We start from the raw sequence: 16,261 nt of genomic DNA, 5'->3' as shown, positions 1-16,261 counted from the left end.
TGCCACCTTCAGTAAGCATGCTCAACACACTTACTTTGATTTGCTAAGCTGATAAAAGAGCGCACCTGCAGGAATGCCAGATGGGTTGTGGCACTGTGGAAATGTGTGTGTTTTATTCCACAGGCACACAGCACCTTTCATTCAGCAAACCTCCCTCACACATCAGATGCACTTAGTCTGTGGTAACTGGGTATCTAAATACACAACAGAATAAAAGTGCCAGGATGGTTCGAAGTTCACTCATTAACTATATAACTATTTGTAAGAATACAAAGTTCAAAAATCAAAGCAAAGACATAAAATTCCCTAGACAAATGCAAAGTGAGCAAGGGAAAAAACTGTCATCTATTAATAGTTATGCTAAACGCACAGTGTGAAAACAGTGCTGCGGCCTTGTGAAAAGGATACCTGGGCCCGTGGCTATAGGAAGGTCATGTTCTGAAGTCTCCCTCTGGGCTACCTGTGTGTTCTGCTTTCCGTCTCAAAGACTCTCCTGAACCACAAAGCCCTCCTTTAAAATCCCATTAAGATACCAAATTAGGCCGGGCGTGGTGGCTCACGCCTGTAATCCCAGCACTTTGGGAAGCCGAGGCGGGCAGACCACGAGGTCAGGAGATCAAGACCATCCTGGCTAACCCGGTGAAACCCCGCCTCTACTAAAACCACAAAAAATTAGCCGGGCGAGGTGGCGGACGCCTGTAGTCCCAGCTACTCGGGAGGCTGAGGCAGGAGAATGGTGTGAACCCGGGAGGCGGAGCTTGCAGTGAGCCGAGATCACGCCCCTGCAGTCCAGCCTGGGCGAGAGAGCGAGACTCCCTCTCAAAAAAGAAAACACACCAAATTAAGAACTGTCTCTACTCTCTACTCTCCATGAGTACCCACACACACCCACACCACACACACTGCCCACTGCCAACACTATGTCATCGGGGGCTTATTGACTCAGTCATGGTTGGGATGTGTGCTACTTCCAAAGCTGAGATTCTGGAAACTAAAGAATGGTGAGCATTTTCTCTTTCTTTCTGAACATAAATAACAGGATTACGACTGAGGTTTAAACATGCTTATTAAATAAGGTGACTGCATTTTTTCCACTGGAGAAAATAATTTTTAAATCACTGGAGCACAACTCTAGAAAAGATGCCAGCTACCTTTCACCTGAATTCGTTTCTCCTGATGCCACTAAATTACTAGCCACCTTATCTTGCCAGTGGCAAGCTGCCAAGCAAGCAAACTAAAAGACAAAGCAGCCCTCCGCTGGCAGGAGGCGCTTCTGCAGGAAGGCAGAATGCTCTTTCATCTTAACATCCCACATTTCTTAATTTTGGTTTTTCAATTCATGGCCCCAAGTAGAGAAAACAATATTTTATCAAGCTCCTAACAACGGAGAAAAAGCATATGAAAAATTCGACTAGATTGTAACTCATGCCACAGCCACATGGTAGAAACACTGCATGTTTGAGCGGCAATTATGTTACCTGAGAGATAAAAGGCCAAACTGTGCTGTAGAAGTGACACGCCCTCCCCTCGCCACTCACACACCCACAGGTCCAAGTGACACGCCCTCGCCACTCACACACCCACAGGTCCAAGTGACACGCCCTCGCCACTCACACACCCACAGGTCCAAGTGACACGCCCTCGCCACTCACACACCCACAGGCCCAACCACATGCCGCCCCATGAAAGTGAGTTCCTGTGTAATCATGTGCTATTATAATTCAGATTCCTGAAGATTGGGGAAAACAACTCCATCCGATTATGTTAATTAGCCTGCATTTCCCTTTTGCAGGTTACTGTGATTTTGATAAACTCTTTTTATACCCCTCCAAACTTCACCGTATGTTAAAAAATAAGAAAAACAGAAAAGCCCAAATAAGCCCACACACACTACGAGTTCTGAAGCTTGAGCTCATTTTCATGAGACACAGTCACGTCTTCTGTGAATAAAAGGTTTGGCATAACTTACCATCTGTACCCTTTTCATCCATTTCTACTAACATCTGTTACTCACTAGTTATCGGACCATACATTAGCTGATTTCCCAACATTTCTGTGACGTGAATAAGCATTCTGCATTTTTTCAATTTAAAAAACAAAAGAAAGAGAAAAGAAATGGGAGGCCCAAAAGGAAAGAACGTGCCCAAACCCTCCGAGCCTGTGGAAGTGGCAGAACTGAAGCGACCCCAGGCCTTCAGACTTGAAATACGGTGCACTTTTCACTTTCCTATCACATGAAAACTCAAGTTTTTGTCTACTCACTTGCAAACAGGTACCCACCCATCCACATGTGTACACACTTGAGAAAACCTGTAGCAACTAAAACGTATGGTTACATCAGTGTGATGTGGGAAAAAATACAAAATCCCCTTACTTAAAAACACACACACCACACACACACACACACACACACACACACACACACACACACCACCCGGGCCTGGCAGCACACACCTGTAATCCCAGCTATTCAGGGGCTGAAGCATGAGAACCCCCCTGAGGCGGGGCGGGGGGTCAAAGTTGCAGTGAATTGTGATTGCACTCTGCACTCCAGCCTGGGCAGAGTGAGACCCTGTCTCGAAAAAAAGAAAAGAAAAGAAAAAATAGAAATAAAAAAATAAAATAAAACGTGTGGTGTTTATACAGAGATAAGCAATAGGCCCACAGAATAGCACACTCGGAACCAGGGGAGATGCACTGCCCAACGGGGCTGACAGGACAGCTAAGGGCCGAGTTCCCAATGAATGGTGAGGAGGCACCTGCCAGGGCCACAGGGGCAGGGAGTTCGATGCCACCTCACACATATACAAAATTCAGTGCCTCAATTTCAGCTTATTACACACTGAAGCGTGAAAACAAAATCTGAAAACTTTTAGAAGAAAACAGACAAATATCTTCGTTATCTAAAGGATGGGAAGAATTTCCTAAAGATATTTTTAAAACTAAAAATCCACAAACTATAAGGAAAAAAAAATCAATTCAGTTGACATTAAAGTTGAAAGTGTACTCCTCTTATCCAACAACAACAACAAAAAAACCCAACCCCAAAAAGGGTTCACCTAACATGTGAAGCTTAAAGCCCTCATGCTAGGAACAGATGCCTGTAAAACCAAAGATTAATCCTAAAATCAGTAAGAAAAAGACAAGCTACTTGATTTAAAAATATGGACAAGGGATATAAACCAAGTAATTCACAGCAGAGGACATCCGTATTGCCAGCAGACGTGAAGAGAATGAAATAGTACCCAGCTGTTTGTAATCTGGGAGATGTAAATTAAAACAATGAGAGTCCATTTACTACACACATCAGATTCACAAAATTTTAAATATGCCAACACCAAGAGTTAGCAAGATTTTTTTTTTAATACGAGCAAGAAAACTCCCATGCACTGCTGATGGGAATGAAGACTGTTAAAATCCTAGATAGCAAACGAGCAGTCTCTAGTGAAACTAAAGAGGCTCGGTCCACAGAACCCAGTAATTCCATTCCCAGGTCTGTGTCCCGGAGGAGCCCACAGAGGGGCACCAGGAGACATGATAAAATACATTGAGTGCAATATTTTTAACGGCTGAACTAGAGACCTAAATGGCCCTCGACAGGAAAATATGTAAGTAAATTGCAGTGTGTTCAATCAGTGGTACTGAGCACTGGAAATCAAAGAACAAGGACAAATTTCTTAGCATAAAGAATACAACGTTAGCTTAAAATAAACGACAAACTGAATATAGTATACCATTTACGTGACACTTTAAAGCACATAAAACACTACGATTGACTATGGTGATATACACGTATATGATAAAAGGTGAAAACCAGTCAGGACCAATATTTCCCAATTTCAGCAGAGTAGTTACTTCTGGGGAGAGATGGGAGAGAGGTCCAAAGGAGGCTTCAGTTGCATCTGTAATGTTTTATTTGCTTTTCAAAGCCTAATAAAGTAAATACAGCAAAATGTCAAATCAAATGTCAGTCAAATCTAGTTGGTGGGTTGAGGCATTTCTCATATTAGTCTCCATACTTTTCTCTACATTGGAATTCTTTATTTAAAAAAACAAATTAAAATAGAAACATAACTATTAATTGTATCTACCCACGGACTCACTAAAACAAAGTTTTGTCTTACCTCAACTGAAGATCGAGGAGTCACAAAGAATTGATTGAATTCATCAGGGCTAAAATCTCCAAAAATATACTGAAAAAAAATAAGAGAGTCACTGATCACATAAAATATACAAATTATATACTTTCAGAAAAAATGCTACATATTTTAACAATCCTATGCAACATTTGGGCCATAACCCCCAAGATCCTTTCTCAATTAAACAGAGGATCTGCAACTCAGAGTTCTAGGTTGTTTATATAAAAGAAATACTACTGAACCTTTCCTACAAATTGTCAAAGAACACTATGAAACTGATAAAGCTTATTTTGAAACAAATCAATTTTGTATGCCAAACTTGTCGAGTCCTGCTTGCAGGAGATTTTTATTGGTTCACAAATACTGCCAGTTGTTCCATTTACCTTTCTGCTGACTCATGCCACTACCTCCATTTCCGCTTTCTCTGCCAAACATACTAAAGAAAAGCAGAAAACGTGGTTCAAATGGGAAGACAAGGAAATCCAAAAAAGGAAAATGTTAATGATCCTGATTAATGATCTTTAAAAATATCTATATAACTTCTTAGTTTAAAAATGCATTTCCATAGGATACACAGATACACATATTATCAGACAGACACAGCCCTTGTTGCAAGCCTGATTTCACGGAATTCAGAATGTGATTTTCTGGAAAACGAAGTGGTTAAACTGCACGGATGTGAGTCTGGCAAGTGCCTACCAGTTCATATTCTCCATGGAGCTTCAAGAAACAAGTCATTGAGGCCTGGCGCAGTAGCTCACGCCTATAATCCCAGCACTCTGGGAGGCTGACATGGGCGAATCACTTAAGGTCAGGAATTCGAGACCAGCCTGGCCAACATGGTGAAACCCCCATCTTTACTAAAAATACAAAAATTAGCCAGGCGTGGTGGCGTGTACCTGTAGTCCCGGCTGCTCGGGAGGCTGAGCCAGGAGAATTGCTTGAACCAGGGAGGCCGAGGTTGCAGTGAGCTGAGATCGCGCCACCGCACCCCAGCCGGGGCGACAGAGCCAGACTCCATCTCAAAAAGAAAAAAAAAAAAAAGAAGAAGAAGAAGTCATTGAGAAGAATTAGCAATTTCCACAACGGAGAAGCAATGATTCATTCATTTAATCAATAATTATTTAGAACCTACAAATGCCCACGTATGATCAGTACTGGGTATAAAAATGGTAAGCAGAGTGTGGTTCCTCTGTTCTAATGGAACTAAACAGTCTAGTAGCTTCCAGGGAAATTTACAAGCCAAGTGATTCAAAAATAACCAGTAACTAAATATTACATAAATGAATAATACTCATTATTATTGTAAATGTGAATAAATGGCCACTAAATGTAATACCCTCCTGGTAAGAATGCACAGGGAAAACGTTTCTGGAGAGCTCTTTGACAACATCTACCAAAACTATAAATATACATTAAGAACAAAAAAGTTTTCATATAATATTTACATATACTTGCAAAAGTCAACAAAGAAATTATGTATTGACAGTAACAGTGAAAATAAACAGAGCCTCAAAATGGTTCAGAAATGATCTTCTGAAATACTGTCACTTTTCAGTGAAGAATATAGAAGGTTACACCTTCTTCTCATCACCAACACTGGGAAAAGATGATATGAATTTCACTAAGAAACCCTCAAAGCAATGGAAGGGAAAATTCTATAGGCTAAAAGGAAGCAGAAAAAATTAGCACAGACTATCACAAAAAAAAAAGAGCTATCAGAGATCATGAAAGTGTTCGCGGAAATTAATTACTAATTTTAAATCACTAAATTAAAAAACTCAACAGAACGTCTTAATAGCAAAATCAACAAGGCTATGGAAGGCAATGGGGCAACATTTTGAAAGTTTCGAGAAAAAAGGATTTTGTTCCTAGAATGCCAGAGTATTTTTTCATAGAATTCTATAAACTACTTTTCAAGTGCAAAAGAGAAAGAACACTTTCTGTCACATACACCTTTTTCTTGGGGGGAGGAAAGGAAACTGCTTAAGAATTCCAGAAAATGAATTCGAGAAATACAAGAATGATAAAGAAGTAAAATACAAGAAACACACGGCAGCTGTGAAGTTTAATGCAAATATTAAGAATAAATAAACTAAAATCATGCTGTTTTGTTTAATATCAATAGTAGAAACGTGGCTACTCTGTGCACATTGCCTATGGCGTAGCCCTGCTCTGCAACGAGCAGTTAAAAAAAAAAAAAAAGTAGAGGCCGGGAGCGGTGGCTCACACCTGTAATCCCAGCACTCTGGGAGGCCGAGGTGGGCGGATCATGAGGTCAGAAGATCGAGACCATCCTGGCTAACACGGTGAAACCCCGTCTCTACTAAAAATACAAAAAATTAGCCGGGCATGGTGGCATGCACCTGTAGTCCCAGCTACTCAGGAGGCTGATGCAGGAGAATCGCTTGAACCCGGGAGGTGGAGGTTGCAGCAAGCCGAGAATGAGCCACTGCACTCCAGCCTGCTGACAGAGAGAGATTCCGTGTCAAAAAAAAAAAAAAAAAAAAAAGGTAGAAATGCTATATATTAAAAGTTATCCATTTTATCTTATGACTAACAAGAAAGGCCTTTTACTTCAGAATGTGGGGAAGATACCTAAGGATAAGAAATCAGAATGTTCTGCAGGATTATCAGGTATTTTCTTTAGGAAGGTTTTCTTCCTAGACAATGGAAAATAAAAATGTTTATTTAAATCATACTTCTAAGCACACTTTCTTATTTCAGTTCATATACAGCCTAAAGTTTTTAGAGCTGGTCAATCCAGTAAGAACACTACAAATCCAAATGATTTGATAAAAATCTTGGCAGCAGAGGAGGAGAGGAGGAGAAAACAAGATTCCAAGCCACTAACACACACTTCCTGTTTCAAACGCAGACACCAAGTGGCTTCAGCATGAGTCAGCGGCAAACACCCTCAAGTCATGAGCTGGAACGCTCAGAAACGGTTCACTGAGTTTTTTTTCTCCTATTATTTTCAAATTTATTAGTTTTACTTAATTATTTTTAAAGTATCTGAGAAAATGTTATAGATTTTAAGCGTGTTTTTATTATAACTTCATGTCAATAATTTCTCCACAGATATGTACCTTCAATCAAATTACAGAATTAACTAGGGGAAAATGAGGAAGAACTTTAGGTACAGACAGCGAGAGATCTTCAAAATACTATTAAAAGAAGAAAGCACTCTCGGTGTAAAAAAGGTAGGAAAATAGAGTATCTGTGTTGCTATATAATAACATATTTGTGTTTGTTAATAATATAGATATTTGTGTCTGCATAAAGAGACACTGGAAAGATCAACAAGAAAAAATGTGGCCCTTCACCTTTGGGACAGTAGCACTGAGTGGACGCTGAGTGGACGCAGACAGGAGTGGAGGGGATTTCCTAGCACGTTTTTTGGAGGGTTTTCTTGGGAGGGGACTACATACTTTATTCAAAACATTAATCATAAAAAGTAAACACAACAGAAATCACCTTACAACTCTTCAAATACACCCATTTTGCACAGACATAATTTCATAAGCATGTTAGTTTCAAGAGCTCATTGACAACAGCTTAGGACTTGATGAAAACATGTCACGCAAAAAAATACACCATAAGTAACTGCTGATTACCAGCTATGCAACACTGAACTATCATTTAACACTTGACAAATCACTAGCCACGGCTGTTTTGAACTCCAACTTAATTTCCTTAACACTGGCTCACATAGCTCAAAAAACAACTCCATCAAAATACACGTGAATCACATTTTAATCCTTAAATGCATGAGCTTTTAAAAGTGAGCAGTTACACTTCAGCAATATTTAAAACCGGTCCTTTCGATTTTATAACTGAAATAAAGGAACGGGCTAAGAAGTCAGTGCCAAGGGTTTAAGAGCATCTCTGCAAGGCGCTCAGCCTCCCGGGGAACTTGATTAGAATTTCCATCTCCCATACAATGAGTATTCCCCATATGCTCATGGCAGATAAACTACATGTATCTTTTTCCTATGTGTCAATACAAATATAACTTATACTCAAGCAGGAATTCTGATACAACCCAATAACCACATATAAAGGAATCCTCTATTTGGGGAGTTAACTATCAAATGTCAGTAAAAGACAAGTCATCGATATCACAAGCTAGGGGAATCCTAAGAATAAAACGGAATTTCTTAGAATTGCAATGCACATTTTGAAAAACGATAAATATTTCTTTCTTGGCAAAGTAAGCTGGCATGGTAACCATTCAAACATGGATTATGAATGATGTGATAAAATAATCCATACAAATGTGAAGGTTAAGACATCATTTTTGTATTTAACAAAATCATATGCATCATTCAAAGCACTACAATGAAGAAGCATTTATTATCAACACTATTCCAAAAGACAAAGTGTTGCTTGGCCAGACACGGTGGCTCACGCTTGTAATCTCGTCACTTCCAGAAGCCGAGGCGAGCAGATCACTTGACTTCAGGAGTTCAAGACCAGCCCAGCCAAAATGGTGAAATCCACCTCCACTAAAAATACAAAAATTAGCCAGGCATGGTGGTGGGTGCCTGTAATCCCAGCTACTTGGGAGGCTGATGCAGAAGAATTACGTGAACCTGGAAGGCGGAGGCTGCAGTGAGCCAAGATGGTGCCACTACACTCCAGCCTGAATGACAGAGGAAGACTCCGTCTCAAAAAAAAGAAAAAAGAAGAGGTGCTGCTTATAAAACAGAATATGACAACTTTATTGGGAGGAAAAAAGGTAATTTTTGCATATGCTGATAAAACTACAAAAAGGGAAAATGGCCAAATACTTATTCAGTAGCAAATACCAGTGAGTGGACGGACATAAATTATAATTTTGATAAAACTACAAAAGGAGGCCGGACACGGTGGCTCACGCCTGTAATCCCAGCACTTTGGGAGGCCGAGGCAGGCGGATCACGAGGTCAGGAGATTGAGACCATCCTGGCTAAACCCCGTCTCTATTAAAAATACAAAAATTAGCCGGGCGTGGTGGCACATGCTTGTAGTCCCAGCTACCCGGGAGGCTGAGGCAGGGGAATCGCTTGAACCGGGGAGGCAGAGGTTGCAGTGAGCCGAGATCGCACCACTGAACTCCAGCCTGGGCAACAGCGAGAAAAAAAAAAAGTAAAAAAGGCCAAATATTTATTCAATATATTTCAATTATTTATTCAATTTATTCAATATATTTATAGCAAATACCAGTGAGTGACAATTATTTAACTAAAATGATATCTGACTAAATGTTGAAGCAAGGCATGTTTGTGACACCAAAAAGTTTATCACAGAAATTCAGGACAGCCAACTGCTATTAAAATGTTCTGGTTTCACCATCTCCTTCTCCAAAAGCCTTCCTAACTTCCAATCAAATGTTATTTTAGGTGTTTGGTAAAATGAGGAATGTTATCAAAAGAGGGGAGGAGAAACTGCTGTTCAAAAAAGTCAATATCCTGAAAGGCTGTGGGAAACTTCCAGACTACAAAAAGCTAGAGACATGATAACTAAATACATTTCCTGACCCTAGACTGGATCCTGTGCTGGAAGGGAAAATTCTAGAAAGGACATTATATGGTCAACTCCCAAAATTAGAATATGGACAGGTTAGAAAAAAGTACTGCATCAATGTAAATTTGTGAAAGTGGTAACGTATTACTGTGGTTATTTAAGAGAATATGCCTATTCTTAGGAAATACACATTCAAGAATTTAGGATTAAGTGGCTACAGTGTATGTAATCTTCCCTGAAATCTCAAAGGGTTTGGAAAAATATTGTATGTCTGTATATTTGCATTTGTTAGCCCATGTCTGTGTGTCTGTATGTGTATCCGTATGAGTGTGTATTTGCAGACAGAGAATTCCAGCACACACAAATGATTAAGCAAATGGATTTAATCTTAACAACAGGTGGATCTGGGTAAAGGACCATCTGGGGATTCTTTGTACTATTTTTCTTTCCGCAACTTTTCAAGTTTCAAACTATTTGCAAATAAAGAGTTTTTGTTTGTTTGTTTGTTTGTTTGTTTGTTTTTTTAAAGCTAACACTGAAAATTGTGAGGTTATGAGGAAAACCTTTACCCTCTCCTTATGTTTGACTGTTTAGTGTTTTCTCTCCTCTGGAAGATTAACTTATTTCAAAGGCTGTCACATGAGGGGGGAAAATTGTAGGTGTTTGGGTAAAATAAAGATGAAAATAACGCTGTGTCTGACTTCACAGGATTTACAACCTAGTGAAGAGGGAAATGCCACTGATGACATGAATTAGTTTTGCCCATAACAGAGCAAGATAAAATACAGAACAATTCAGTTCACACGGGAGACTAAAAAGCACGAGTAAGTTCATCGTTTCTTGTAATTTCAAAGAAAGTGCAGAGCTTAGGACATATTGGTGGCTGTCATTAAAATAAAAGCAGGTACCTGGAGGCCCTGTCAGCCATGCCACACCACAGAAACTGTGACACTGCTGCGGCTAACTCTGCCCTTCCCACAGCTACACCAAATACCATCAGGAAAGACTGGGAAGCCCCCTAAGGTTTCAGCAACTCTGCCAGAGTCAGAACACTGGGGTCAAAAGGAGGTATCAGAAAGCAGTAACAAACGCTCCTTTCCCGCGTCCTGTGGTTGCATAGGAAATGCCCAGGGGCGGGACGGCACAGAAATGCCTGCGATTCGGGGGAGCAAAGTACAAGGGCTTCAGGCATTTCTTCCCCTTTTTAGGGGAAGTAAGACTGTGAACTAGAGAAGCTATTTATTCCCCTCCACCACTTCCCCTCATATCCCATCCGGCCTCCATCCCGGGCTTTCAAAACTCTCACTGTTCACATCTTTACTTTCTGATCCTTTCTCAAGAGGATGTGGAAAAAAATATACAAGAAACACTTCGAGAAAAGGGGGGCAAGCCCACACCACAGCAGGGATGGGAACAAAAGACACCTTCCTCCCTGAAGCATAGCCTGTTGGCTAAGCTGGCTCAGTTTACCTTCTGGAGGTGTGTGGAGGCCACTACGGCCCTCAGGGGGCCTGAGTTGAGAAACCCTGGGCAAAGGTTTAGACGAAGTGGGAAAACCAGTGTTCCTGCTAAAGGAAAAACAAAGACCTTGCCCTCAGCAATAAAGACACATTCCTCCATCTCAGCCCAAGGAAGGCGAGAAGGAGAAAAGATGTCTAATGTTCACTTGCACAACCTGCTGGCTACAGCTCTCCCGCCGGAACTGCGGGAAACGCCACTTTCGGCTTCAGGAGACGCTGGGGACTATCAGTACAGCACGGCACTAGGGGGCGCTGCAGCACAGCATTCTGAAAGTTTCATCTCTCTGGAAATTTGAATAAATATGCAGGTTGTTCCAAATTAACATTCTCTGCCTTCAAAAGGACTGATAGAAATAGGAGATCAGCCCTGAAGTAAGAATGTAAATACTTTGCTGCTGCATTTGTACCTGCAGTTTCCGAGGCAGGTGGACAACTATGACCAATCTCTAAGAACAATCTCCCATTCACAGATGCACAGCTAAGCCTCACAGTGGCAAATGGTATAACCAGGTCACAGTCAAATACACAAGAAGCTGAGAAGTATAAAGTATTCTCCCTCTTCTCCTGATCCAAATAAGCTCAATTTGGGGAAACATGAAAAGAGCAATAGACTGTTTGGCATGATTAAAGCCTTAATCTCATCTACAAAATGAAGGTATGTTGGACCAGACAACTTCTAAAATTCTTCCCATCTCCAAAAGGATCTCTTGGATCTAAAAAGGATTAAGAAACACGGGTTTGAAAATGTCGTCAGACAGGCCGGGCACGGTGGCTCACACCTGTAATCCCAGCACTCTGGGGGGCCGAGGCGGGTGGATCACCTGAGGTCAGGAGTCAGAGAACAGACTGCCAACATGGTGAAACCCTGTCTCTACTAAAAACACAAAAAAAAATTAGCCGGGCATGGTGGCAGGCGCCTCTAATCTCAGCTACTCAGGAGGCTGAGGCAGGAGAATTGCTTGAACCCAGCAGGCAGAGGTTGCAGTGAGCGGAAATCGTGCCATTTGCACTCCAGCCCGGGTAACAAGAGCAAAACTCCGTCTCAAAAAAGAAAAAAGAAAAGAAAGAGAAAAAGAAAAAGAAAATGTCATCAGACTAATGCATGCTACAACAGGATGACTTTGAAAACATTATACTAAGTTAAAGCCACACACAAAGAGCCATAAATTGTTTCTTCCATTCATATGAAATGCCAAGAATAGGCAAATTACCAGACACAGAAAGATCATGGTTGCCAAGGGCTGGGAGGAGAGGAGAATGGGGGAGCGGGAGGCGGTGACTGCTAATGAACATGAGCTTTCTTTTGGGGATGATGAAATGTTCTAAAATGGACTACGGTGTTAGCTGCAAAACTTTGTGAATACACTAAAAACCACTGAAATGCATATTTATTCAAATACACAAACTCCACAGCATGTGAATTATATCTCAATAAAGTTTTAAAAAAGGTCAGTACTTATATCAAAATAAAAATTTTAATTTCTTTACTAGGCTTTATGAATCAAAGCCCAGTAAGTTATGGGTGCTAGCTGATATCTACTGAACAATCATTGTGTGCTTTCAACTTCAGAAGGTGGTGTGGGTGGTTCTGAGGACATCTGGAGATGACACTATCATCAACTAGTGAATGCACACCAGGAAGTTCGCCAATTTAACAATATGCACTGAGCATCAACAATCCACACTCAACTATGCGAGACTACGAGAGTAAAACTTTGAACACAACACACACAGGGGTCAGGGCATGGTGACATTTACAGTTTTATTACAGTGCAAGCCAACTGCAAGCTGAACTAAGTGTTACAAATGGCAGAAGCAGACAAAGGAAGAAGGAGGAAGAGAAGTTTTGTTCCCTCACTAATAGGGCTATAGCAAAATTTTGCTTTACTTTCTTGGGGCAAAGAGGTCCTGAGAAGCGAACAAAGTAGACAAACTATCACAAAGTCACTCTCACAGGCAGCCTCTCTCCTTGAAACTCAAATGTCAAAGTACTGCAATTGAGTGTCTACTTCCCTGTTTGTATATTCTATTTCTACTATTAAAGTGCTATCAAAAAGTAATCATTTTACCTCTCAAAGTATGGTTTTTAACAGGTTGGCTGTATATTAAGTGCTTTCATGGAGATTCCGAGCTAAAATTTCCTTCAGAAATTTTAGATTGAATTCAGATTGAATCTCCAAATTAGAAAACATGATTCACTTAACAGAAACCCACTTTTACCAACTTTCCAGTCCTGTGTCTATATTAGAACTGTATTACAAAATGGCCATTAAATTTTAACTCGCTTTGCTCTTAACTAGTACTAAATAGCAAGGTAATATAGATAGCCCTCATTATTGAATAACTTCCTGTGTAAAATTGCTATTGTATGAAACACAGCAGATAAATTAGGGAGTAAATTCAGTCAACTTTATCTGGGATAGCCCTAGTAGAAGTTCAAGATTCCACCAACTTTCATATTCATTACAATCACCTTGGTGCTGACCTTAAGAAAAAAAGAAATGGAAGATGAAACCAATAAAAAAGAAACTGTAACAGAAGCAGTTCTATCTTTGCTGGGGCCAAGGACGAACAAAAGAAGAGGCTGCAAGGGGGCTCAATGTCATTCTGGGGAATGACAGAACTGGTGTCTTGATTGTGGAGGTGATTACACAAATGAATACATCTGTTAAAATTCATGGAAATATACACTTTAAATGGGTGAAATTCACCGCACATACGTTATACCTCCATAAAGCTGATTTCTTTAAAGTACAAGAATCGAGTTAGATCCATCTTTGTTTAGCCAGAAGTTAATGCAGTAGACTTGGCATAGAGTAGGTGCTCAAAATAGCTTTGTTGAACAAATGAATTCAGGAAGAGGAAGATGAAAAAACCCACACAAATAAAAAGCTTATCTAAGGATAAGGAATAATTTCTCCAAACTACATAGCAATCATTGTGACTTCCCAGGCGTCAGTGGGCTGACAGTCTTAACTTGATCACTCTGAATGGTTTTTATTCTCATGTTTTTATTATCACCAGAGATGTTCCAGCTAGGAGTACATCTTTCATTCTCAAATATAATCTTCAAATAAATACAATCAAGAAATAACACTTATTTTTAAAGTATAACACTTAAACTTATATTTTAAAATATAAGACTTATTCAACGTAAGTGAATTAAGCTTCACAGAACACTTTAAAGGAACACCTATTTTGACCTAAAGAAAAATCATTAACAATTACCATGTGATCCATTTCCCAAGCTAAAGAGAAACCACTTTTCAAAATCTTAAGTGTATAAGGGGGAAAAAAGGCCAAAAAAAAAAAAACCCTGGATGTGATCAGAAGGTATCGGAGCCGGTCAATCCTTTTAAAATCGACTTTATTCCCCACCCCCCATCTTTGACCCTCAAATAAGACCACCGGTTTCCAGTGTGAAGCAGGCATGCATCCTGTATTTCTTGGTCCCTCCTTTCTGCTCAAACTGTCTTTCTGGGCACATTTCACTAAGAACCACCTATTTGTACTCAGTTTCACTTTGCTGTCAATGACAGGAACTCATGTTCCTAGGGACAAAAAATTATCATTTAAATTGATGTACTATAAAATTAAGACGACTGAGCCGGACGCAGTGGCTCACACCTGTAATCCCAGCACTTTGGGAGGCCGAGGCGGACAAATCACTTGAGGTTAGGGAGTTCGAGACTGGCCAACATGGTGAAACTCCATCTCTACTAAAAATACAAAAATTAGCTGGGCGTGGGGGAGTCTGCCTGTAATCCCAGCTACTCGGGAGGCTAGCAGGAGAACTGCTTAAACCTGGGAGGTGAAGGTTTCAGTGAGCCAAGATCACACCACTGCACTCCAGCCTGGGAGACAGAGTGAGACTCTGTCTCAAAAAAAGAAGACTGACAATATCAAATGTTGGTGAGGACAGAGAAGAAGCATTCTCATACACTGCTGGTGCAGATAGAAAACGGCATGGCCGCTTTGAAAAAGCCTTGCAGTTTCTTACAGAATAGAATATACGCTTACCACATTTTACCCACAAGAAATGAAAACCTATGTCCACACAGACACTTGTACATGAATGTGAACAGCAGATTCAAACAGTGGGAACAACAAAAATGTCTATCAAGAGGAAAGAGACAAGCAAACTGTGGGACATCCACAAAGGAATACTACCCAGTACTGAAAAGGCTGGAACTCAACACTCAACATGGCTAAATCTAAATAGTTGGGTCAGGTGAAGGTAACCAAACAAAAGAGTACAGTTTGTGTAATTCTGGGCCAATGTAATTCTAGAAAAGGCAAACTTTCTTAGCCTATAGTGACAGAAGCAGACCACTAGCTGCCTGGACAAGGTGGGGATTCATGGCAAAGGGGCATGAAGAAACTCTCTGAGCAATGGAAATGTTCTATATATGGAGTGTGGTAGTAGTTACTACTTTGGTGTATACATCTGTCAAAACTCAAACTGGGCTGGGCGTGATGGCTCCCAGCCTGTAATTCCAGCACTTTGGGAGGCCAAGGTGAGAGGATCACTTGAGAGGAGTTCAAGATCAGCCTAGGCAACACGGTGAAACCCTGTCTCTATGAAAACACAAAAAATTAGCCAGGTGTGGCGGCGTGTGCCTGTAGTCCCAGCTACTCGAGAGGCTGAGGCAGGAGAATTGCTTGAACCCGGGAGGCGGAGGTTGCAGTGAGCTGTGATCGCGCCACTGCACTCCAGCCTGGCAACAGAGCAAGACTCAATCTCTAAAACAAAACAAAACAAAACAAAGCCAGACTTGGTGGCACATGCCTGTAGTCCCAGTTACTTGGGAGGGCTGAGGCAGGAGGATGGCTTGAACCCAGGAGGTCAAGGCTGCAGTGAGCTATGATCACACCACTGCACTCCAGCCTGGGAGACAGAGCAAGACCTCGTCTGAAAAACAAAGACAAAAAACCTCGAACTGCAAACTTAAAATGGGTACATTTATTGTATTAAATTATACTTCAATAAGGTTGACTTTTTAAAAATTGTTATGCACAATCTATGTAAAGCAGATGAAGCAGTACCATAATCAAAGCTCTTGAAGACCAATGGCCACAGTTGTAATCTTTCAT

The 16,261-nt window shown here is 40.7% G+C and overlaps 1 protein-coding gene and 1 long non-coding RNA gene across 11 annotated transcripts in view, besides 5 other annotated features; one reads left to right on the top strand and one right to left on the bottom strand.

Moving 5' to 3' along the window:
* Positions 1–16,261, bottom strand: part of USP10 (ubiquitin specific peptidase 10) — a 79,923-nt gene that overhangs the window by 42,295 nt on the left and 21,367 nt on the right. For 6 of the 10 annotated variants that reach the window (NR_073578.2, NR_073577.2, NM_001272075.2 and 3 more), the window contains one exon: positions 4,125–4,193. Coding sequence is in view for 3 of the 10 variants with exons in the window: in NM_001272075.2 (NP_001259004.1) it covers positions 4,125–4,193 (69 nt within the window). In the remaining 7 variants the exon portion in view is untranslated. Of the gene's footprint in view, positions 1–4,124; positions 4,194–4,522; positions 4,576–6,737; positions 6,803–16,261 lie in introns of all 10 variants that reach the window. The other 4 variants (XM_047434877.1, XM_011523443.2, XM_006721332.2 and 1 more) reach the window with 2 other exon arrangements.
* Positions 266–1,231: an enhancer, noted in NCBI's record as "H3K27ac-H3K4me1 hESC enhancer chr16:84770003-84770968 (GRCh37/hg19 assembly coordinates)". NCBI's record gives its function as "activates a minimal SCP1, AML or CMV promoter by ChIP-STARR-seq in primed H9 embryonic stem cells {active_cell/tissue: H9 hESC(primed)}" and the evidence as "EXISTENCE:reporter gene assay evidence [ECO:0000049][PMID:30033119]".
* Positions 1,232–2,197: an enhancer, noted in NCBI's record as "H3K27ac-H3K4me1 hESC enhancer chr16:84769037-84770002 (GRCh37/hg19 assembly coordinates)". NCBI's record gives its function as "activates a minimal SCP1, AML or CMV promoter by ChIP-STARR-seq in primed H9 embryonic stem cells {active_cell/tissue: H9 hESC(primed)}" and the evidence as "EXISTENCE:reporter gene assay evidence [ECO:0000049][PMID:30033119]".
* Positions 7,059–10,147, top strand: LOC124903737 (uncharacterized). The gene is made up of 3 exons (XR_007065154.1): positions 7,059–7,086; positions 7,221–7,342; positions 8,574–10,147. It is a non-coding gene; the product is annotated as an uncharacterized LOC124903737 (long non-coding RNA).
* Positions 10,371–10,871: an enhancer, noted in NCBI's record as "H3K27ac hESC enhancer chr16:84760363-84760863 (GRCh37/hg19 assembly coordinates)". NCBI's record gives its function as "activates a minimal SCP1, AML or CMV promoter by ChIP-STARR-seq in naive and primed H9 embryonic stem cells {active_cell/tissue: H9 hESC(naive and primed)}" and the evidence as "EXISTENCE:reporter gene assay evidence [ECO:0000049][PMID:30033119]".
* Positions 11,097–11,146: an enhancer, noted in NCBI's record as "active region_11253". NCBI's record gives its function as "activates an Ori minimal core promoter by ATAC-STARR-seq in GM12878 lymphoblastoid cells {active_cell/tissue: GM12878}" and the evidence as "EXISTENCE:reporter gene assay evidence [ECO:0000049][PMID:35858748]".
* Positions 11,271–11,565: an enhancer, noted in NCBI's record as "tiled region #11774; K562 Activating DNase unmatched - State 25:Art". NCBI's record gives its function as "activates a minimal TATA promoter and a strong SV40 promoter by Sharpr-MPRA in K562 cells {active_cell/tissue: K562}" and the evidence as "EXISTENCE:reporter gene assay evidence [ECO:0000049][PMID:27701403]".

This window comes from Homo sapiens, chromosome 16 (assembly GCF_000001405.40).
Source record: "Homo sapiens chromosome 16, GRCh38.p14 Primary Assembly".
NCBI classification, from domain to species: Eukaryota; Metazoa; Chordata; class Mammalia; order Primates; family Hominidae; genus Homo; species Homo sapiens.
This window is presented reverse-complemented; position numbering and strand designations above follow the sequence as displayed.